Source organism: Homo sapiens, chromosome 2, assembly GCF_000001405.40.
Source record: "Homo sapiens chromosome 2, GRCh38.p14 Primary Assembly".
Lineage (NCBI taxonomy): Eukaryota > Metazoa > Chordata > Mammalia > Primates > Hominidae > Homo > Homo sapiens.
In genome coordinates, this window is record NC_000002.12 from 15,619,647 (window position 1) to 15,643,035 (window position 23,389).

General features: G+C 38.3%; 1 protein-coding gene across 1 annotated transcript in view, besides 1 other annotated feature; it reads left to right on the plus strand.

Annotated features, from left to right (window-relative positions):
- The window catches only part of DDX1 (DEAD-box helicase 1), a 39,234-nt gene extending 27,779 nt beyond the window's left edge, over nt 1-11,455 (plus strand). The window contains exons 17-26 of the mRNA NM_004939.3: nt 562-750; nt 1,419-1,470; nt 3,790-3,936; nt 7,408-7,499; nt 8,799-8,871; nt 8,992-9,064; nt 9,151-9,193; nt 9,956-10,051; nt 10,344-10,464; nt 11,130-11,455. Coding sequence (NP_004930.1) covers nt 562-750; nt 1,419-1,470; nt 3,790-3,936; nt 7,408-7,499; nt 8,799-8,871; nt 8,992-9,064; nt 9,151-9,193; nt 9,956-10,051; nt 10,344-10,464; nt 11,130-11,260 — 1,017 coding nt within the window. The 3' untranslated portion in view covers nt 11,261-11,455. The remainder of the gene's footprint in view (nt 1-561; nt 751-1,418; nt 1,471-3,789; nt 3,937-7,407; nt 7,500-8,798; nt 8,872-8,991; nt 9,065-9,150; nt 9,194-9,955; nt 10,052-10,343; nt 10,465-11,129) is intronic.
- Nucleotides 16,165-16,365: a silencer, noted in NCBI's record as "peak3608 fragment used in MPRA reporter construct". NCBI's record gives its function as "represses an SCP1 promoter by STARR-seq MPRAs in K562 erythroleukemia cells {active_cell/tissue: K562}" and the evidence as "EXISTENCE:reporter gene assay evidence [ECO:0000049][PMID:32103011]".

Sequence of the window (23,389 nt, forward strand, 5' to 3'; positions counted from 1 at the left end):
AAATAGTATACTCAAAGGTAACAGTCTTAAAAGCTGCTTTTAGAAATAGAAGGAAATTTGAGGAAATTACTTGGGTGTTGCAGAAAACTACAAGTAAAAATTCTTAGTTACTTTGTCCTGTAGACCGTTTAGGGTGTGTATTCCAGATTATTAGTACTGTTGCCTGTTCGAAGGAAAAATAACTTCAGCTATTGAAAAATTGTTGTCTTCTCTGTAGTTATATCCTTCTTTCTTAGGAAGCATTTAAGAAGGACAAGCTTTTGAGAGAAGGGGACAGACAGTAATACAGGATTTTTGGCTTACAAAAATGACTCATTTTACTTAGTTTTTGTAGGGACGTGAGGAAGAGATGGCATGATTTCTATGTGACAGTGAGGGAACTGAACCTCAGAGAGGTTAACCTGCCCAAAGTCATAACTCTAGTTGTCGCTACATAGAGTAAGGTGTTGAACTTATCTTTGGAGTCTAGGCTAGCACACTTTGTGTTTCATATCAGTGTTTGTGTGATTTATTAATTATTATTATAAAAGTTCATCTCAATTTGGGGTTTCCTCTTCTTAGGTGATTGTTTGCTCTGCCACTTTGCATTCTTTCGATGTAAAGAAACTGTCCGAGAAGATAATGCATTTTCCTACATGGGTTGACTTAAAAGGAGAAGACTCTGTTCCAGATACTGTACACCATGTTGTTGTCCCAGTAAATCCCAAAACTGACAGACTCTGGGAAAGGCTTGGAAAGAGCCACATTAGAGTAAGTGGTTTATAATATTAACATTTATGTAGAATAAAGCAATTTATAAACTAGGTCAGCCTTGGGCTCTTAGTGATGCTTAAGGCAATCAGTTATTGTATCAAAGAAAAGTCCAATACATCGTAAACCCTTAGACCTTTAAAAAGCACTGAATAAGTGATGGACTCCATCTTTTGTTTTTCTGTCTTCGTAATATTACTTTTGTGATCAGCTTCCTTGATACAGTCTTTATAAGTAAATAACATATATTTATCTAATTTCAGATACAATGATTTCCATTTTTAGTAGTATTTTAGTAGGAGCCCTCATCTGTGTCCTCTTGATGTACTTTGTTCTAAAAATCAATTTCATGTGGTCATCTTGTCACTTTCTTCACTGTGATTAGATTTGCCTTTATATAGTAAGGTTATATTTATTATAAATATACAATATTTTAGAAACCACATTTTCATTATTATTATTACCTTTAAAAGTGGTCTTAGACCTATAGTTAATGAAAGGTTTTTCTGAATCTGAAGAATGATTTTGCCTACAGATTATATTATGAAGACATATATCTGAAATACAGTCTAAAGACAAATATAAATCTCCCTTTTAAAACATGACATATATTCTGAATCATTATTTAACCACTCCTCTATCCTGTTTTTATTCCTTGCTTTTGATAGACTGATGATGTACATGCAAAAGATAACACAAGACCTGGTGCTAATAGTCCAGGTGAGTTAAAAGAGTCAAATGTGTTGAAAGATTTTGAAAATGAAATTTATACCTTACCTATTCTCATGAAGGATGTGAGGTGACCTGCAAAATTAAAACAGGAAATTTGGAAATAAAGGCAACAAAAATAATAAAAAAGAAATGGGGAAAAGCTGATACTAGTCAACTTAGAGGAATATGAATCATTGAATTTATTTTTAATTTTTTGAGACAGAGTCATGTTCTTGTCACCCAAGCTGGAGTGCAATGGCACAGTCTCAGCTCAAGGCAACCTCGGCCACCCGGGTTCAAGCAGTTCTCTTCTTGCCTCAGCCTCCCAAGTAGCTGGGATCGCCCGCCACCATGCCTGGCTAATTTTTTTATATTTTTAGTAGAGATGGGGTTTCACCATGTTGGCCAGGCTGGTCTTAAACTCCTGACCTCAGGTGATCCTCCCACCTCGACCTCCCAAAGTTCTGGGATTACAGGCATGAGCCACCATGCCTGGCCTTAATCATTGAATTTAGATGTTAGTCTCCTGGCATCTAAATCACTTTTTTTTTTTTTGTTTTTTTGAGACACGGTCTCACTCTGTCACCCAGACTAGAGTGCACTGGTGCGATTTTGGCTCACCACAACCTCTGCCTCCCAGGCTCAAGCAGTTCTCCTGCCTCAGCCTCCCGGGTAGCTGGGATTACAGGCACGTGCCACTACCACCTGGCTAATTTTTGTGTTTTCAGTAGAGATGAGGTTTCACCATGTGGGCCAGGCTGGTCTTGAACTCCTGACCTCAAATGATCCACCCGCCTTGGCTTCACAAAGTGCTGGGATTATAGGCGTGAGCCACTGCACCCAGCCACAAATATTTTTGATTATCTAATTCTCATCATAGGAAAACAGCGAATTTTTCTAGAGAGATTATTTTATATTGACCCTGAATTCCATAAGAAATATCATGTAAGTTTCTCATATCAGGAATATTGCATAAGAAAGAAAACTTTCTTTAGCTATAGCTTTGCAAAAGATACTGAAATTGTTTTGAAATAGTTGTTGACTTTTTTGTGTGTGGTAGAATATACATAACATAAAACTTAGCATTTTAACTATTAGTGTACAGTTCATTGGCATTAAGTACATTCATATTGTTGTACAATCATCACCACTGTCCATCTCCAGAACTTTTTCATCTTCTTAAACTGAAAATCTGTATCATTAAATATTTATCAATTTTTAAAAAGCCTAACATTAAATTCCGCCTCAATGAAGATTCTTCTTTGCAGAGCTGAGACTCTTTGTTTCAGGTTAAATAGTGTTTTGAAAATATAGGAAGGTACATCATGATACAAGGTTGGTGCTTAGAAAACCTAGAAGAATGGATCTTAAACCCATTAGGCTGCATGTCTGACATGAGATGTTTCAGGTGGATCATTCATTGGTGAGGGTCGGACTCTGCTTGCTTCATGGTTGAATTTCAACTATATCAAAATGGTGAATTATCTGAAATCTTGATTAAAGATTTGAACTCAGTTTTATATGTAGGTCTAAATTAACAAGACACATACTTAGTTATCCTTATTGTTGGAGAAGAGCAGAGACACTGTTTGAAAATCTGTCATCCCAAATGCATTTTATAAAATTCCAGTTTTTATTGCTTCTTATATTTTTCTTGCATAAGTTTTGCTTAGTTTAGACTAACAATTAGAGATGATCAGAGAGACCTTAGAAATATGTTGGGTCACAGAATTAAAGTCTTACATTCAGTGGTTGAGGAATAACAATTATAGCACAGCTTCACACTGAAAAATAGAGAGTTGGAGGATGGTGACTAAAAAATTACTAGAGTTTTGTGTTAAGGTTTTTACTGCGTAGAGTGAAGTATGAACTTTCTGGTATTTAGATTGATTTAGAAAGTACATTAATTATTTTTAAAAGGAGTTAAAATAATTGTATAAAGCATTTATTGAGCATTTAGGGAAGTTCATGCAAGGCAGAATATGATTTGTTCTTCATGAGAGATAACAGTTTTGCTGTATGTATTTCTGTTAATTTGTACGTGTGTATGTGTGTGTTCCCTCATAAGGGGTACGGTTATGGGTGTTTATATACCCCATAAAGTAGCATAAAAAATATTAACAGAAACAAAAATAAATGAATGAATGGTTTAACTCACTGTTTTACTCTATCTTTACTTCTTGTCCTTATCTATATATAATACTTTTATTAAAACAAGTATTCTTTTTTAGGAAAATTAAGCAGTCAGTCTGTGACTATAATTATGTGTATTCATGACAAGTTCAGATTGAAATTCTGTTGGTTTTTGTTGTTGTTATGATATTCAAGAGATGTGGTCTGAAGCTATTAAAATCCTGAAAGGGGAGTATGCTGTCCGGGCAATCAAGGAACATAAGATGGATCAAGCAATTATCTTCTGTAGAACCAAAATTGACTGTGATAACTTGGAGCAGTACTTTATACAACAAGGAGGAGGTAATTTTTTCTCACTTGAAATAAATTGTGTTTATATCCTCTTGTAATAGATTATTAATCTCATGTTGATGCAATCTAGAACACATGCACAGAATTTAAAGCAGTTGATGGCATATTTTAAGTATCTATGCTTATTCAGTACTTTTCCATATGATAAGCCCTAGGAAAAACAAGAGAGAATTTTCCACGTAGGTACATTTTCATTACAGTAAACTTGAATCACAGCATCCTAAGAGTTTTATATTATATGGAAGAAGGATAAAGTAATTTATTAGTCTTAAAATTTAAAATATGATCACTGAAATAATAGAATGTATGTCTTTTAAACCAGTAGATGGGGAAAGGGGAATGAGGAAAAAAAACCTAAACAAGAGCAAGAAAGGAAGGGGAATAAAATGAGAAAAATTATGGTTAGAAATTATAGAATAAGATCAATGTTGGAAAAATCTGAATGTATGAGTAAACACTGTAAGTATCAGTGGACACGGTCTTCTGTTATAAAGCATGGATTGTTGGACTGGATGAAATCTAGCAATACGCTGTTTACATGGAGCATACCCAAAATCTGAGGACATAGAAAGATGGAAAAGGAATGAAAAAATATTATGCATGTGTCAGCTAAAATATTAACCAAAAGAAAGCCAGTCTAGCTATATTAATAAGAGTTGCAGTAGACTTTAAGACAAATATTACTAGAAATAAAGAGTCACTATGTAATAAAATATCCAAGCTACAATGGAAGTATAAGGGTTCAGATTTTATGCTTCTTATAACTTCGAGAATGTAAACTGTATTAGTCTGTTCTTATGCTGCTATGAAGAACTGCCTGAGGCTGGGTAATTTATAAAGGAAAGAGGTTTAATTGACTCACAGTTCTTCAGAGCTGGGGAAGCAAACACGTCCTTCTTTACATGGCAGCAGGAAGGAGAAGTGCCAAGCAAAGTAGGAAAAGCCCCTTATAAAACCATCAGATCTCATGAGGACTCCGTCACTATCACGAGAACAGCATGAGGATAACCACCCACATGATTCTATTATCTCCTACCAGGTCCCTCCCACATGTGGGGATTATGGGAACTACAATTCAAGATGAGATTTGGATGGAGACCCAGCCAAATTATATCATAAACCAACATGGAAAAATTCTCAATCAGTTGTTATGGAAATGCAAAATAAAATGACAGTATAATACCGTTGTACATGCTAAACTAAAAATACAACACCGAATTTTGGCTGTGGAGCAACTGCATACAGTTGTTGAGAATAGATTGTTGGTGAGAATATAAAATGGTATGAGCACTTTAGCAAAGGGTCTTGCAGTCTTTTATAAAGCTAAAAATGCTGTCTTATGGCCTAGCAATTAAACTGCTAGATGTTTACCCAGGATAAATGAAAACACATATTGACAAAAAGATGCTAGAATGGCCATAGCAGCTTTATTTATAATATTCTAAAACTGAAAACACACTAAGTGTCCATCAGTAGGAGAATGGATAAATAAAGTGTGAAATACAGTGGAATACTACTCAGCAGTGAAAAGGAACAGACTTTTCCTTGCTGAGTAAACACAGCAATGATGGATGAATCTCAGAAACCTTATGCCAAATGAAAGAATTCTTACTCAAGAATATACACTGTATCAATCTATTTATATGACATTTTTAAAAAGTCAGAACTAATCTGTGATGGAAAAAATGTCAGAACAGTAGTAGTCCCCACAAGGGTGGCAGTAGGGATAGGCTGGGAAAGGATATGAGGGTATTTTTTGGTGTGATAATGATGTTCTGTATCCTAATGGGACTTTCTCAGCAAATCTACTTAAGATTTGTAGATTTCTTGAATACAACTTTTACCTCAAAAGAAAAAACTAAACAAATATTGAATTCTAGTTAATTATATGCATGCCGAACTCTGTACTGATGTCTGCAATTTACATTGAAATGTACAAAAATATGAAGATGAGTTGATGGATGGATACAGGTATAGGTAGATATGTGGTTAAAGCAAGTATAATAAAATGTTAATTGTTGAATCTAGGTGGTGGATATACAACTGTTCATCCTTAAAATTATTTCAGTGTTGCTACGTGTTTGAAAATATAAATATTGGAAAAATATAAAAAGTAAAAATTGGCAGATATAGAAGGTAACATACAAATCCCATTATTGTACTGAGGAAAGACTAACACATTTTGTTATAACTGATGTACGTCAAGGAAATAGAAAACTCAAGAAGGATATAGAATATTTGAACTAATGGTCATATAAAGAATACATTACACTGTTCATTACAGTGAGTGCTTAAGTAACACATTTTTTTTTTCAAGTCCTGGCAAACAGACTTGCTTGGTTGTTATAGTGACTGTTTTGTAGTACTTAATTTTCTTCCTGTCTATGTTTTGAATGGAGGAGTTGATTATGTAGTAAGGAGTACTGTTGATTAAGTAGTAATATCCCTTTAGTTACTTTGATGCTCCTTCCCTAAATATTCTGGATGTAGATGTTACTTCTGCCTAGAAAACAAGTTTATTACACCATTACTAACACTCAAACACAATATATACCAGATTACAGGGGTTTAAAAGAAGGGATCAAAGGATCCCTCTCCCCTCCACACATACCCTAACCAGAGAGTTATAGTGTGTATTTGATACTTCCCTAAACCACTTGAATGCAGGATGCAATAAAATCTCAGCTGTATACCTCTAGAAGTTCTGGTTAGCTGTTATTTCACCTCTGCATAATTAATTTTTGTGTTATTCATTTTGAATAGATATCTGTCAAAATGTATTGTTTCCTTGAATTTTCAAGTATACTTACTGAACTTAATTTACCTTGGAGAATAGTTAAGTGCCATAATTGTTATTTTGTTACATCCCAGTGGTTACTCTTTTTGTTACTGTGTCTACTTGAAGAGTTTTCTTTTGGGGGGTTGGCTACCACTGCACTTGCCTCTAAAATAACACCTCTCCATCTTTACAGTTTGCTGCTTTGAATCTTCTGTGGCCATGAAACTAGATAACTATGTTGCTTAAAATACCTTGAGAAGAGAGCAGGCTTATGGGCATGGCCTTTTAGGAAGCACATTAACTTGATGATGCTTAATTTTGGTTCCTCCAAGAATGATCTCTTTTGCCTACTTTTTGAGTCTTAGCTTTATGGAGGATAGTGAGGTTCCTGGTGTACACATAGGCATTTTAGTTGGTACACTGCTTGATCCACTCCTCCTACAGATTGGGAAGGGTGACTTAAAATGCCCTTAAAAGCAGGACAACTTTAATGCTCCGTAGAGTTCATTTTAATGGTACTTCGTTTGTGACATAAATTGTGTTAACCATGGTTTATAGCAAGTTGGGGCATAGATTTTTATGGAATTGTGTGGCACTATTGTAGTCTGAATTTTATTGGCTTTTTTACATAGTCTTAGGCAGAAGATTTTCCAAGGTTAAATGCTTAATGTGCTTTTCACTAGGACCTGATAAAAAAGGACACCAGTTCTCATGTGTTTGTCTTCATGGTGACAGAAAGCCTCATGAGAGAAAGCAAAACTTGGAAAGATTTAAGGTACTGATACATAGTTGATTGTTTCCTTAATACTTAAGAGGGGCATTATATCTAGTTTTAAGCAGTTTTAATTAATATTATTAAAGCAATTATTGTCCTAGAAATTTCAAAATGTTTCTACCCTAACTAATGTGTCATCATCATGACAGGAATTAGTCATTGTTGACACTCAAATGGTAAATTATACATTCTCTATCAGCATAACACTACTATAACAGGAATTTTCAATTTCAGAAATTTTAGTTAAATTATTTCAGGTAGATATTTTTAGGAGAAGTATCATTGGATAGTTAAGCCATGTCTATGTGCCTTAAAAACAGTCTCCAGCAATAGCCATAAGGAACTTAATTTGTAGATTAATTAAGACAGGTATCAGAATATGGCTATGTAGAATTAAAGGTATTTTGATACTGTTTGGGGCAGACCTTTCCAGTTATATGCTTGCAGCACATGAACGGGTCATATAGCTCTTGGTGTAAGTGGGTGGGTAAGTAAATGGCTTGAGCCATTTAGAACTAAAGATCGGTAACCTGTCTACCTGCAAGCAGTCTCATTAATTTAATAGGCCCCAGTGTATAGCATAAGTATCATTTTCTAAGAAAAAAGATGGGAAGTATTGGGTTGAAGAACTTTGGCTTACGTTTCCATGCTGGGCATAATTGATGCAGATGTGAAAACACATCGCATGGCCTCGTTTGAATGTGTGCTACCCTTCTCAACCGTAGGCATTTTTCTGGACCATAAGTCAGTATACCCTTCTTCCCTCCCCCAGATCTCTAATTTTGCTGTGCCTTGAGGCACAAATGACATTGAAAGGCTAATTTGTATTTCTTGGTGAGCACCAGGGGCCTACCCTCATTTTCCTCCCCTTGAGAATTTTGTCTGTTACAAAAAATGTAGCCTCCAGGTAAAATATCTAGTATTCTGAGTTTATTTGAATTTAAGAGTAAAGATAATGCTTATGTCTGTACATTGTATTCTGTTTTGTCTTTCTCTTCAATTTCTAAAGATATTTATAAAGATTAAGCCAAGTTTTAGCAATAGTTTAATATCTTTGAGTAGAAAAAGAAAAGCAAAAATGAACCCAATCTCTGATTTAATCACCTTAAATGTCATGTTTCAGCAGATCATGACATAAAACTTCAAGACTTGGTCCAGTAAATTAGGAGTATGTCGACCTCTAATCTGATAGTAACACTTGAGTTTTTAGAGGTCTCATTTAGTGGAAGGATAGCATTTGTTTTTATTGTTTAGTATATGTGCTAACAAACTCCTTTCTCTCTTCACTGTTCTCTTTAGAAAGGAGATGTAAGATTCTTGATTTGCACAGATGTAGCTGCTAGAGGAATTGATATCCACGGTGTTCCTTATGGTAAAAAGCAACTTTTTATGCCTGTAGTGTGATTGTTACGGAATCTAAAGTAAAGCCTTCTAATATGTTTGAAAAATTTAGAAACTACTGGCAATTGTTAATAATGGTTTTTATTTATAGTTATAAATGTCACTCTGCCCGATGAAAAGCAAAACTACGTACATCGAATTGGCAGAGTAGGAAGAGCTGAAAGGTACTTCTGCAATTTTTTTTCCCCCATTTTTAAGCTTGTATGCTTTAGGAATAAAGTCTAATAGAAGGCTTTTAACCATCTTTCAGGATGGGTCTGGCAATTTCCCTGGTGGCAACAGAAAAAGAAAAGGTAATCTTTGTAGGGCTCTATTATATTCATTGTGTGTGTTGTGATTTTAGATGTTGGAAATAAAAGCAGTTTGATTTTCCCATTTAAATTTAATTCAGCTGCGTATGGAATACAAATGAACTTTTTAATGTCATCTTTTTTCCTATATTCATTGAATGGACAAATAATAGGGTGAAATTTAGAAAGGAAAAATGCAAAATATAATTTTTCCAACTAGCTTTATTGTACTCATTTCCACCAAAAAATATTTAAACATTTTCTGGCATGGTGCCATGGAAGACCTTTCATGGTGAGGGGAGATTTATTTTGATATAATTACAAATTTATAGAAAAGTTGTATTCATAAAGAGCTCCCATATACTCATTGCCAAATTCAGTAGTTGTACATTTTGCATTATTTGCTTTATTATTCTCTTATACAAAAGATTTGAACTTATTTTTCTTTTGAACTTTTTTATGTTAATATTGACATAGTATGCTTCAATATTTACTTTTTCATCCTACTTTTATCTGAGAATTCCTTTTGATATCTGACACCCATTTTAGGAAAACTTTTGGATTATTCTCAAAAAGAACTTTTTCAGAAGACCTATTTATTCAATGAGCTACTGAATAGTAGTGGTAATTGGATGATATATCATACCTATAATCTATTTTTCTAGTGCCTTGAGGACAGAAAACAATTAAAAACAAATTTAGAATAAGATATTTAGCATGTCTCTATCTCCATGCATGTTAATATTTTTTCCTTTTTAAATTTAGGTTTGGTACCATGTATGTAGCAGCCGTGGAAAAGGGTGTTATAACACAAGACTCAAGGAAGATGGAGGCTGTACCATATGGTACAACGAGATGCAGGTAAGACTTCGAGTTAGGCTCACAAATAATGTATTAAAATGGTAGAATAGAAAGCATTTATCTTCAAAAATTATATCTTGGCTTTTATCTGTTTGTCACTTATAAGGGAAAGTCGTAGTTGGTTATAATGTTATCTGCACTTTGCTAATTGTAAGTTGTGAATTTCTCTCTTCAGAAATCTGACTTCCATTTATACCAAGCATTCTGGCCTTTCCAGCTTTATTTAATGATGATAAAATGCAACTCTTTCTAAATGAAATTTTTATTTGGAAATTTTCTCTCCATTACTTAGTTACTATCTGAGATAGAAGAACACCTGAACTGTACCATTTCTCAGGTTGAGCCGGATATAAAGGTACCAGTGGATGAATTTGATGGGAAAGTTACCTACGGTCAGAAAAGGGCTGCTGGTGGTAAGCTTTGAATTATTTTAAATACAATTTTAAATGTAAATATACCTGTTTTGAACTTCGGTTTGGGAAGGCAGTACTTTCATTTCATTAGGTTAAGAGTATATTTTTAGCGTGTTAATCATTCCCTCCTTATTACCCTCATAGTACTTTGTCCATACCTGCCTTGTAGCATTTTTAAATTGTGTCATCTTTATGTGAATGAAAGACTTCAGCTTAGCTCTTTCTCTTGAAGTGTTAATGTCATAAGAGTAGTTGAACATTTTGTGGAATTAGTAGGAAACAAGAGCATAATAGGTGATTTTGAACAAGGAATCAGAAGCCTTTGACTTAACTCAGGTGGTAATTCAGCATATTATTTCCTCTGCCTGGGATGCCCTTTTGTTAGCTTGTTCCTGAAAAATTGTAAGACTCAGGCCTAACTAGTTGTTTCCGAGCCAAGGGTGGGTAGAGGTGTTGGGACAGCTGTTAGTGAGGCCTAATTATTTATTTATATTGAAATAATTGATTTAACATTTTTTAAAGTCAAAGTTCTGGAGATAACTTGCCCAGTAGTACATTTTATTGCTGCAAGCAAAGTTTAAAGTGATATAATTGAGCCAAAGTATTGCTGACAAGTTATTTCAAGCATGTCATTTACATTACTTTGTTATTTGTGTGTGATGCAGGTGGAAGCTATAAAGGCCATGTGGATATTTTGGCACCTACTGTTCAAGAGTTGGCTGCCCTTGAAAAGGAGGCGCAGACATCTTTCCTGCATCTTGGCTACCTTCCTAACCAGCTGTTCAGAACCTTCTGATTTTTACATTTACTGAATAAGATTTGAGTAATGAAAGTCTGTAGTCTTAAAACTCTAAAACAGTTGTACTGCTTCCAAGCAGCAGTATTTATAGTAACGTAAGCTATTAATGCTAACTCTTGCATGTCAAGAAACATTAGTCTTAGGAATTCTTCAAAAAATGGCATCCCAATGAAAATAAATTTGATGACTATATTTTCATGAAGGTTTGTGTCTTATTTTAAAGTTATATTGATATATTTTTTCTATTTCTTTTTTAAGAACAGTATGGGCTTATGAAGTAGAATTTATGGGTATGTGAATCTGGCAGAGGACTTACGTGGAACCACTCGGGAATATTCTAAAAGTAGGTTTTCAGATGGCTAAGGTTGTCTATGTGTATATTGAAGCTAGAGGAGAGTTGGAACATGAAGGGAAATTCGATGATCCCAATGTAGAAGAACTGCTTGGTTAGTTTGGAAGCATGGAAGTTTTGAGGGAGTCAGTAAAGGTTCTGTATCTAAGGACTGATGACTGATGTGATGGTGCCAGTGAAGATGTATCTTCTTTTTATGAACCTTGCTTTCCAGATGATGCATACCCATCAAAGTAGAACTAATCTGCTGTCCCTACAGGTCTTAAAATCAAACTTAAACTCAGGGTTTTTTTTGTTGGTTATTTTTTTGTTTGTTTGTTTGTTTGTTTGTTTTTGTTTTTGAGACAGGGTCTTGCTTTGTCACCCAGCCTGGAGTCCAGTGGCGTGAACACAGCTCACTGCAACCTCAACCTCCTAGGCTCAAGCAATCCTCTCGCGTCAGTCCTCTCACCTCAGCCCCCCAGGTACCTGGGACTACAGGCTCACGCCACCATGCCTGGCTAATTTTTTTGTATTTCTTTTTTAGAGACAGGGTTTCACCATGTTGCCCAGGGTGGTCTCCAACTCCTGAGCTCAAGTGATCTACTCACCTTGGCCTCTGAAAGTGCGGGGATTATAGGCGTCAGCCACCATGCCTGGCCCTGGAATATATTTTCTTAAACACTGGCTCTTGCCTAAAATATCAGAAGGAAAGGGAAAATGTAAATACATATAATTGAATTGTTGCTTTGTGCCTTTTGACTCTTAGTCTATAAGGTAGTTTTTTGGGGGAAATTATTCTTGTCCAAGAGTTTCCTTAAGAGCACAGGGTGTTATAATTTCTTATATGATGGTTTTCAAACCTTTTAGCAATGAAAAACCTTGAGTGAAACAATATATAAACAGATAAAAGCTGTAGTGAGAAAATCATTGTCTTGTATATTTGAGTTTAGGGTTTGTGTGAAATGATTATGAGGATACCATTCTTTCACTTATCTCTAGACCACTTGCTTTGGAGATGTCCTGGAACTACTATAACCAATCTCAAAGCTATGTGATGACAGCTCTGTGCAGTCTTCACGCACATTAATCACTCGTTTAGAAACGAACTTTTAATTGATGTGACAGCAAAGACAAGACTGAATTTCAGACATGTAAATATTAGAATGGAGGGGATCTTTCTAATCACCTTGTTCATGCCCTTGTTTTATGAGAGAGAAAGCTGAGTTTAGAGGAATGCACATTCACATGGCCTGGTGGTTAGAACTGGAAATAGAACTCGGGTTTCTTCAGTTTCAGCTTTTACTCTTTGGGCTGGCTACCTTTGGAGGATGACTCTCAGGTCCAAATTGCAAGGCCAGAGAGGAATCCTGGATAGAGCTCAGCAATGGTGGAGATGTTTTTTTCCTCTTTAATTACTTACTGACCAACTGGAATTACCCAGGGAACAAGAGTTTTCAAAGGAAGAAGCCACATGTAACCAGACTAGCCGAGGAGTTGTTTGGAGACCTGACTTGCTCTTTTTTCCTGCTCATATCACCATTAATTCTTTCCTTTATTCTCAGTCTTGCTTCCAGATGCTGATTCCTTCAGGCCATCGTATTAATGCCAAGAATGCAAGTAACTGTTAAAAGTCGGGTTAAGATGTGGTCACTGGGCCTGAGGGATGCTAATTGCCTGCCTCCTTCGGGATTGCCTTTCCCAGGTTCTGGTCAACGGGGTACGAGTCAAAGTGATGTGTACAACTTCCGGGCCTTGTCCTGCCCACCCTGTCCCTCTTCTCTCAGGCTAGAACTTGGATGTGGTATTAGTGAGCCTATTGCCACCATTAGAAAAGTGTAATACTTGGGGAGTGGCAGAACAAGGCAGAGGAACCTGGTGGCCTTGGGAAAGAGAGCTGCCCACCCTCTCCGAACTGCCTGTTATAATAACTTGATGTTATCTGAGCTGCTCATGTTTAGGGCTCTTTGTTACAGAACTTTAGCCTCTACCCCAACTAATATATAAAACACTAGAGGCCCTTCAAAGTCCAGAAAATGCTAAATATTAACCTTCATATGATAGTATTTGTGATTCAAAGCTTCCACTTGTCCATTCTTTAGTGCAGGAATTTTTAAATGTACTCACAGATCTGGTGTCTGTAGTTATATGTCAGTCTTAGAACCTCTGTAAACAGAAATGTCAAGACTTGCCCCAACTTTAACACATGATAGACATGGCCTGAGATCTTAGGAGCCTCGGTGCATTCCTTCTTACTCACAATCTAGTCTTTGACTGTTCATTCTCGTCAAAGCTACCTTCAAGCTTTGATTGCTAGAACTTGACTTTCATAGTGACTGAAGTGGTTTAGGGGAAAGGCTGTTTCATATCTTAATAAACTTAAGTGTTCTGCTCTAACTCAGGTTTATGTCTTTACTGTATTGCTAATTTGAGTCCCTTACTAGGACAGGCTCATTTAAGTGCAACAAGTTATATTTCATTTAAGAGAGCATAGAAAACCAAATAAAGGGACCAAATGCTATTGCCTTAGGATATTTGCCTTAAGAGAATTGATTCTAAAGGGTTCTAACTAGTGGTCTTTGTTATGAGATTGCTAAAACATTTCTGCACCTCCTTTTTTTATTTTATTTTATTTTTTTGGTTGTTGTTTTGTTTTTTGAGACAGGGTCTCACTCTGTTGCCCAGACTGGAATGCAGTGGCATAATCTCGGCTCACCCCAATTCCTGCCTCCTGGCCTCAAGCTGTCCTCCCACTTCAGCCTCCTGAGTAGCTGTGACTACAGGCATGCACCACCACGTGTGGCTAATTTATACCTCATTCTTAGCATATCTTTTCCTGTTAGTTACATGGAAATTTCAGACTAGAGTAATCCCCACTCCTCCTTACTTTTTATTTATAGTCCCACTTCCAGAGAAAGTCATCGCTAACATTTTGGTTCATTTCTTTTTTCTGTAAATGTTTTGGTCTATATACGATTCTGTATTTTTATTTAACATAAGCATTTTTCTTATAAATACTATAGTGGCTACATAATACATTGAATGTACTATTGTTTGTGTAACCATTGCACTCTTACTGCTCAGGTGCATTGAGGGGAGTTGGAAAGGATGTGAACTTTATAATATTAGTCTTGGATTTGAATCTGGCTCTAACTCACACTATAAATATGACAGAAGGCAAGGTCCGTTAAGCTTTGATTTCTTTATGAAAATGGTGAAAATTCACATTATTCAGGATCATGTTAAGCATTCAGCAAAATGTCTAGTAGATGAGGAGGCATGTGTACTGTATTTATAGTAGTTACATTTTTTGTGTTACACAGAATGCTGCAGTGAACATCTTCTGTCTTTTGAATTATTTTAAACTAGATTCCTAGAAATTGAGTTATTGAATTAAAGAGCCTGAATGTTATGAACATTTTTCAGAGTCATCAGATTGCTTTCTGAAAGAGTTGAGCTGGTTGACGTTAACACTAACAATATAGGAAGAAGTCTGTACAATTTATTTTACAAACTGAAGTATAGTTTGTTGCGCTCAAAGTATGCTTTCCTGATGTCTCTTCATATGGTGTGTGAATTAGTGCTGGTGAGTAGAGGTAGTCTCACATCTTACATGCAACTTCTTGCCTCCCATGGGCTCCCACTCCTGGTCCCACCATCATCAGATAAACAGGGACCTAGACTTGTTTTAAATAAGGTGCAGGCTTTTTTTTTTTTTTTTTGATTTCCTAATTTTTGTCTTTAAAGGTAGAAGTGCATGTGGCAATGACTGGGAACTGCCCAGATTAAAAAAAAAAATGTTGGTTCCTGGCCAATTCCAAATGGGTAAAGCTATTTAATCACATTCCTCTCCTTGTTCTGACTTAAAAGGGAACGACACACTATTTCAATTTGAATGAGATTTGTAAAATATCAAAAAAGTATAGATAAATATAAAATGAGGTCCCTGATAGGTTCTCTTGCAGTAATTTTATCATTTCTCTATAGATGTTGACAGTTTCTAAAGTCCTACCAGGCATTTTTTCTAAGTGACCTTATTTGGGAGGAAAAAGGAATATGTGTCAGAAGGGAAAAAATGTAGTGGAACAGGAAGGAAAGGGAGGGATACTATTTTGCTACTCCAAAGTAATTGATAGAGGATTCCTTTGGAGGGAGGAGTGGAGAGGGAATTTTTGCAGTTGTTTTCCATTCTACTGCTTTAAATCATTACCTTTCATTTAAACTCATTTAAATGTCTACTTTTTTCTGATGGATTCCACTCTTTCTGGTCAAAAGTATTGAGGGGAATTTGAAAGACAAGTCATCAGGTAGGCCTGGATTTGATCCCAACAATAGTTACTGACTTCTAGAGCTAAATCACATGCAGAGATCATTAGATATAAGGTGGGAACCAGGAATCTGCATTTTAACAAATTCCTGAAATAATTGTGTTCATGCAGATGGACCTTGAACCACAATTCAAGACACACTGTTACAGAGAAACAACTCTTAGAGCTTTTATTCTCACTGCAATCTTTTACTTGAGGATTTGGTTAAGATCTAAAATGACGTCTGAAAGACAGATGCTTGCTGTGTTAGAATCATGTCTCCTAGTTCACTGCCTTTGGACCCAAGATGTCCACCTTGAGTTCTGTTTCCTTAGCTTAGTGGTTCTTAACCCCAGCTGCACATTAAGGTCCCCTAGGATACTTTAAAAGAAAATACCGGTGTCTGCACTTCACCTCCAGAAATTCTGATTTAATTGCTCTGGAGTGGGGCCTAGATGGCCTCAGTGATGTTAATGTGCTGCCAGGCTTGGGAGCAGCTGCCTTAAACTGAGTCTGACCCTAGATGTTTCTTGGTCCTATTGCAAATCCTTGTGTCCTTTGCACCCATCCAAGCCAATGTGTCTTAAGGTTACATATAGTCAGACTCAAGCTGGAGCCCTTGTTGAAATATTATGTAGTGGGGATTATTGTAGAGAAACACTTTGATAGAAATTGTAACATATGTAATTTTTCAAGAAACTGATAAGATTATTCACCACCCGTAGTCTACTCAGAGGCTACTCACCTGTAGCCAAGTGAGTTTAATTCCCTTCAAAATAGTCACTTTGGGGATTGAGGCAAGTCTTTTTAAGGATGCTTCAATTTTTCAAAACCCATTTGGCCTTTTCTCTGTTTTAGACGTTGCTACTTTGTTTTTATTTAAAACATTGCCATTGCTTTAGATAGGACCAGTTTATACTCTAAAAATCACTGGTTTAACCCAATACTTTACCTCACATCTTGTTCTCCAGCTGGGTAACTCATTCTGTTCACCAGAAAAGACTGTGATTGGTTGCTAGTTTTGTGTTTCCTTGAATTGAATCCCAATTTAAGGATAAATATTTGCTGCTGCCAAAGTAGGACTTTGAAGAGGCAGCCAGAGGATGTTTCTCTGCAGGGCAATAATTGGGTGTGAAGGGTTTCCAGTTTTTTGTGGTGGATTAGAGTCTCGGGGAAGACACTCTGAGATAGAAAATCCTGATCAGAACAGGAGTCGAGAGAGAGGAGAGGCCGGTAGGGACAGGGTCAGTTGAATATTGGAGCAATGTTGTTTGATAATGAGTTTTGATTTTCCTTTTCTACATTGTGATTCTCTTAATACCTTCAGATGTTTGCTACCTAGGTCGGCAAGTAGGTCTGTCAGTATGACTTGCGTATGAAAGAGAAAGCTCTTCTGTGTTTAGACAAAGTAATGCTAGGAACAGGGTGTGGGAACTGATTAGGATCCTGTTCTGTGGGAAATTGGTCCCTAATGGTAAGAGGGGACAAGCAACTTCTCTGGAGTAGTAGTCTAAAGCTCAGAAGAGTGACAATCAGGCTTAGTGGCAATCAGGCTTTGTAAGCATTCTCAAGAATCCTTAGGTGCATTGGGGAGAGAATTGGCTAACTTACAGACACACAGGCTGAAAGCTTGAGGTATTTTGTTTGGCTCTTAAAGGCTAGCAATTTGGAGACATTGGCTTGCTTATACCCATATCATAAAATTCTGTTCACTTAAAATATTGATGTTAATTCTATTGGTTGTAATAAACTCTATCGTGTGCTTCTGCCCATAAATTATTATTCATTTTCCCACTGTTGTTAACCCAGCACCAAGAGAATACTTACTTACAAAATAACGCAAATGCATGGGGCCCCTCAACGCCAGCCTTCATGGGGTTGTGATTCATTATTTCCCAGTTGAGTGCACCAGGTGGCGCCAGTGTCACAGGAATACCCACAAAGAACACTGTGCTGGTGTATTTTTACCACTTGGGGTCACTTAAGGATTACCCGACTCCCTTTTTTTTTCATCTGAGCAAATCACAGATTCAAAGGAATTATTTCCCATTACATTTGACAGAGGCTGTGGTCTTTTTTTCTGGATCCTGAAGGCCAAGAAATGAGCATGAGGGTTTTATTTTTCTGTGAGTTGGCCCCGTGCAGTTTGTGCTCCAGTGTGTTCTCCTGTCACAAAGCACTTGCACATCCACCACACCAGCTTGCTCCTGGGCTCAGCACTGGGGACTTCTATGTACAAAGAACTTCCACACATGTCAAAATTGCCTTTATGCTAATTGCTATGCTCATTAACATCTCCAGAACTCGGAATGCTTTTTCTCAGTCATTTCCTTTGATTCTGCCTGTCTCTGAAAGCCCAGATTGAATGAAATCAGGTGAAGTATCATGTCAACAAGTCACTGCTGCCTGCTAGTCTTTCTGCCACTTACACAGTGGATCCTAGGCATTACGGCGTTGCCCTTCAAGAGCATGTTGGAGATTTGTGGAATGGTCTTCAACTGACTTTGCCTGCTTGGGGTTGGGTTTGGGTGGGGGTGAGGGCAGGATGTGTGGGCTTAGACAGACCAAATAATGAACCTCATGACTTCAAATAGTAGCTCATGGCTACTTATTTGAAAACCATAAGTGATGATTGGACACCCCAAGTGATAGTCTTCCACAATGTCCCTGCTAGCCAAACAGGGAGATTTGGGATTTTGGATTAAGAGATACTAAGTGGAAAAACAGCCAGACCTGATCTGTCCTTCTGCCTTCTGCTTTTCTCCAAAGAATAGCTTCTTGGGTGGGAGCAGGAGAAGGCTTAGTCACTGTTCAAGAGCAGCCTCTTCTGGTATAATTTATACCTATGACAGGAGCCCATTTGGCCTTTACCATTTAAGAGTTGTTATTAATCCATGTCAACCCCCATTCAAGAGCCTGTGATGGGCCTTGATTGTGTTTAAGTCCAGACTAATTTGGGCACTTAGGGCCCTCTAAAATCTAGTCCCAACCTTCCTAGTCCTATTTCCCATACTCCTCAAATCATATCAAATCTGGACTCCTTATTCCCCTCCATATATAACAATGGATAAAATTTATGACCCTTCACTATATCAGGTACTGTTCTAAGTGTTTACCCATCCTAACTCAATCCTCACACCAACCCCAGAAGACAAATTTTACTGGTGTTCCCATTTTCATAGATAAGGAAACTGATGCACCAAGAAATTAGTGATTTGCTGAAGATCATGTGACTAGGAAGCAGTGGAGCCAGAATTAGAATCCAGGCACTTGTCCACTACTCCCTGCTCAGTCCTGCTGCTTAAAGACCTGCCTCAAAGAAGGCTGCTCAAAGTCCTGCCTTCTCTTGCCTGTCAAAATTCCACCCATCCTTAGGGACCTGAGTCACTGCCACCTCTCTTGTGGGGGCATGAGAACATCATGCTTTTGAATACCAGCCATGAGCCAGCTATTTTGTATTTTGCCTCATGTAAGAGCCAATGCTATCATTTTTTGCAGATAAGGAATCCAAGGCCCAGAATAGTGAAGTCTAAGTACCCCAGGTTGAGGTTTTTTTTGTTGTCTGTTTGTTTGTTTGTTTTTGAGACAGAGTTTTGCTCTTGTTGCCCAGGCTAAAGTGCAATGGCATGATCTTGGCTCACTGCAACCTCCGCTTCCCGGGTTCAAGCTATTCTCCTGCCTCAGCCTCCCGAGTAGCTGGGATTACAGTCATGTGCCACCATGCCCAGCTAACTTTTTTGTATTTTTAGTGGAGATGGGGTTTCACTGTGTTGGCCAGGCTGGTCTCGAACTCCTGACCTCAGGCGATCCATCCTCCTCAGCTTCCCAAAGTATTGGGATTACAGGTGTGGACCACCACGCCTGGCCCTAGGTTGAGTTTTTCAGGCCCCAGAGCCTGTATTTCTGCTCTGTTGCTCTCTCTCCAGGAAGGCCTCTAGTACATCACCCTTTGTCTCGTCCTTATACTTTATGATGCAGCTTTTAAATTTTTTCGTTTTTCTTTTTCTTTTTCTTTTTTTTTTGAGATGGCGTCTCACTCTGTTGCTCAGACCGGAGTGCAGTGGTGCGATCGTGGCTTATTGCAGCCTGGACTTCCTGGGCTCAAGTGACCCTCCCACCTCAGCCTCCCAAGTAGCTAGGACTACAGGTGCACGCCACCACACCCAGACTAACTTTTAAAATTTTTGGTAGAGACAGGGTCTCTCTATGTTGTCTAGGCTGGTCTCAAACTCCTGGGAGCTCAAGCGATTCTCCTGCCTTGGCCTCTCAAAGTGTTGGGATTACAGGTGTGAGCCACTGTGTCCAGCCTGCAGCTCTTAATTTTTAAAAACTGCTGTATGACTTTTTTTCCCACTCTCTGTTTCCAGGTGGGTTAAATTCTGCTTCGGTGAAGGGTTTCTGGATGTCCTTTTTCTCTCCCTACAGTGTGCACAGTGGGTGTACAACAAATATTATGATTAGCTTTTCATAAAATGGGAGGGTCTATCAACTTAACCTGGAAGAAATGAAAGTTCCTCTGTGGATACTGAGACCCAAAACAGAAAAACACCTAATGACTTTTAACCCTGAGCAGGAATCATTATTCCATGGTCCTATCCAGGACAGGATAGAAGACCAGGATGGTTTTCAATGGGAAAATACAGGTTTTGGCTTCTTCAAGAAAACCTTGACCAAAGCCTGAGCCTGATTTTGAGCATATGGGCCCAAAGCTCCAGTTTGCTATGGCTGAGTATTCAGTGTTATGGTGGACCGACACTTGCACAGAAACATGTGAATTCATCACGGTTATTTTTGCAGCATTGGAGTTGGCAAACTTCCAAGTCAAGAACTTTCTGCCTTTGCAGCTCTTGGTTATTTGAGGCTGGATGACTCACTTTGTGTAACATCCTCTTGTTTTCCTCCTTTTCCTCCCCGGGGCCCCCTCCCACCTGAGGAGATCGGTAGGGGCAGAGAGGGTTGTGGAACTCAAGCCACTGTTGGCAGCTTCTTTTCAGTTAACATTTTTTGGGGAAGCCATCTTTACCCCCTTCTTGCTCTTATGAGGCAGGTCACTTCCCCCTTCTGTATCCTCAAAACCTTTTGTTCCTTCTTTTATTAGAGCGTTTATGTTCCGATATTTTATTTGACTGCTTAAATAATAAATAACAAATACATAATAAAATTTCCCTCAGTGTCTCTTTCTGGATAGAGTAGGGTGTTTAGGACAGGTCTGGTTTCAGTATCCTCAGTACCTGAGGCAGATCTGGCTGAGAAAAGGTGATTTGGTAAATGTTTGTTGAGTTGGAGGGAAGTTTAGATGGATGGACAGGTAAATTATCACGAGAAACTTTTGTGAAGGAATTTTAGACACCAGCTAGCATAATTAGGGTGAGAAGTTACGATTTGTCAGCTAGTTAATTTGTATTTTTTGGGCAGGAGATCTGCACATCCTGAAAATTAGGCCACAGAAGTAGACAGGTTCTAAGCCTTGTCTTTCTCTTTAAACAGGGTTTGTGTTTTTCAGGCTGAAGCAGTACTAGCTTAACCCAGGACAACTGGTTACTTTAGAAGGAAATCTCCTCACCACTGCTGTCCTACACTCTGTCAATTCTTTCTGAGACACAGCAGCAACATCCACAGGTGGCAGGCAGGCTGTGCCTCAGGGCTTTGCACTCCATCTCCTCTGCAAGTCAGGAATATTTATTTTACTTGAAGGAAACAGATTCAAAGAGGTGAGGTAACAATTGAACAATAATACTTGGAGACTTCAATACACTGCTTTCAATAATGGATAGAACAACCAAACGGAAGATCAATAAGAAAACAGAAGACGTGACCAACACTGTGGACTCACTAGACCTAAAAGACATCTGTAGAACATACCACCCACGAGCAGCAGAATACACATCCTTCCCAAGTGTACATGGAACATTCTCCAGGATAGACCCTATGTGTAGAAGTCAATAACAGAAAGGACTTTGGGAAATTTACAAATATGTGAAAACCAACAGCATACTACTAAACAACCAATAAGTCAAAGAAGAAATCACAAGGGAAATTAGGAAATACTTTGAGATAAATGAAAAGGGAAACACAACATAGGAAATCTTATGGGAGTAGGTAAAGCAGTGCTTAGAGGGAAATGTATAGCTATGCATGACTATATTACAAAGGAAGAAAGATCCCAAATCAATAACCTAACCTTCCGCCTTAAAGCACTGGGGGAAAGAAAAAAGAACAAACTAAACCCAAAGCAAGCAGAAGGAAGGAAATAATAAAGATTAGAGCAAACATTAATGCAATAGAGAATAGAAAAACAGTTGAGAAAATCAACAGAACCAAAGGTTGGTATGTTGAGAAGATCAACAAAGCTGACAAACCTTTAGCTAGAAAGAGGTGAGGTAATTTTCCCAAGGTGACTCCAATAGCAAATGGCAGAGCCAAGATTCCAAAGCAGGACTGTCTAATGTCAAATCTGGGGTTGTAGCTTTGTCTCTCACCTGGACTAGGAGTGTGTCAAGGATCAGGAGCTTGTCTTACTCATGTGTGCATCCCCAGTGCTTTGCTCTGTGCCTGGCACACGTAGGGGCTCAGGAAATATTTGCTGAAGTAAAATGAAAAGTAAACCTCCTCCCCACCCTTAGCAACCATCTGTGTGAGATGATAAATTATGCTTCCAATGCAGATCAAGCTGAATTGCACTATTTCTGATGAGAAAAGCTGAAAACAGCAAACTGCTTGTCCTTAAAAATAAACCCTTCAGCTTCAGAGATTTGGCCCAGAAATGAACCGTGTTATAGCTCAAGCCCTGAGATTGAGTGTATTACCCTGGAGCCAGGGGTGATGGAATTTGTGACTGGAGAGAGAAACTCGATCACCTTGACCTGGCCGCTGGATGCAGACTGCAGGCTGGTCTGCCCTTGTTCCCGGTCCCGGGCCCCGGAGGCTGAACACCACTCACGGGAGGGCTGGCTCAGCTCAGAGGGACAGCTGATCCCACAGAGCTCAAGACACTGAATCGTGTCCGCAGACCGATAGAACAAGGGTTCAGCGATGGTTTCCCAGCTGAGCCAGACCACATGGAGCCTAGCTTCCTGATATTTCACAAGGGGTGAAATGTAAAGAATGTTGACTTTCATTAACCCAAGTGCATGTCAATATGTCCTGAAAGGCTGGGAGAAGGTGAGCCCAGGTAGATTCTAGAGCAGGATGCCACCACATGTTCAGGCTGGAGTGACATGGCCAGCTGTCCTGGGGGGCAGGGGAGGACAGAGACCCTTCACCAAATGCCATCTCTTCTTGGCCTCACAATGGCTGCGTGAGGACAGCAGGGTGCAGGCTGCTTGCCCATTTTCCAGAAGGACAAGATGAGGCCCTTAGAAGTTGCCCTACTCACAGCCGGTAGAAAAATGAATCCAGTTTCTTGGACTCCAACGTCTTTCTGCCCGTCCCCCGCCTCCCGACTCTCACCTCCTTGGAGGCTTACGGGGCTCTGTATAAGTTTCCCAC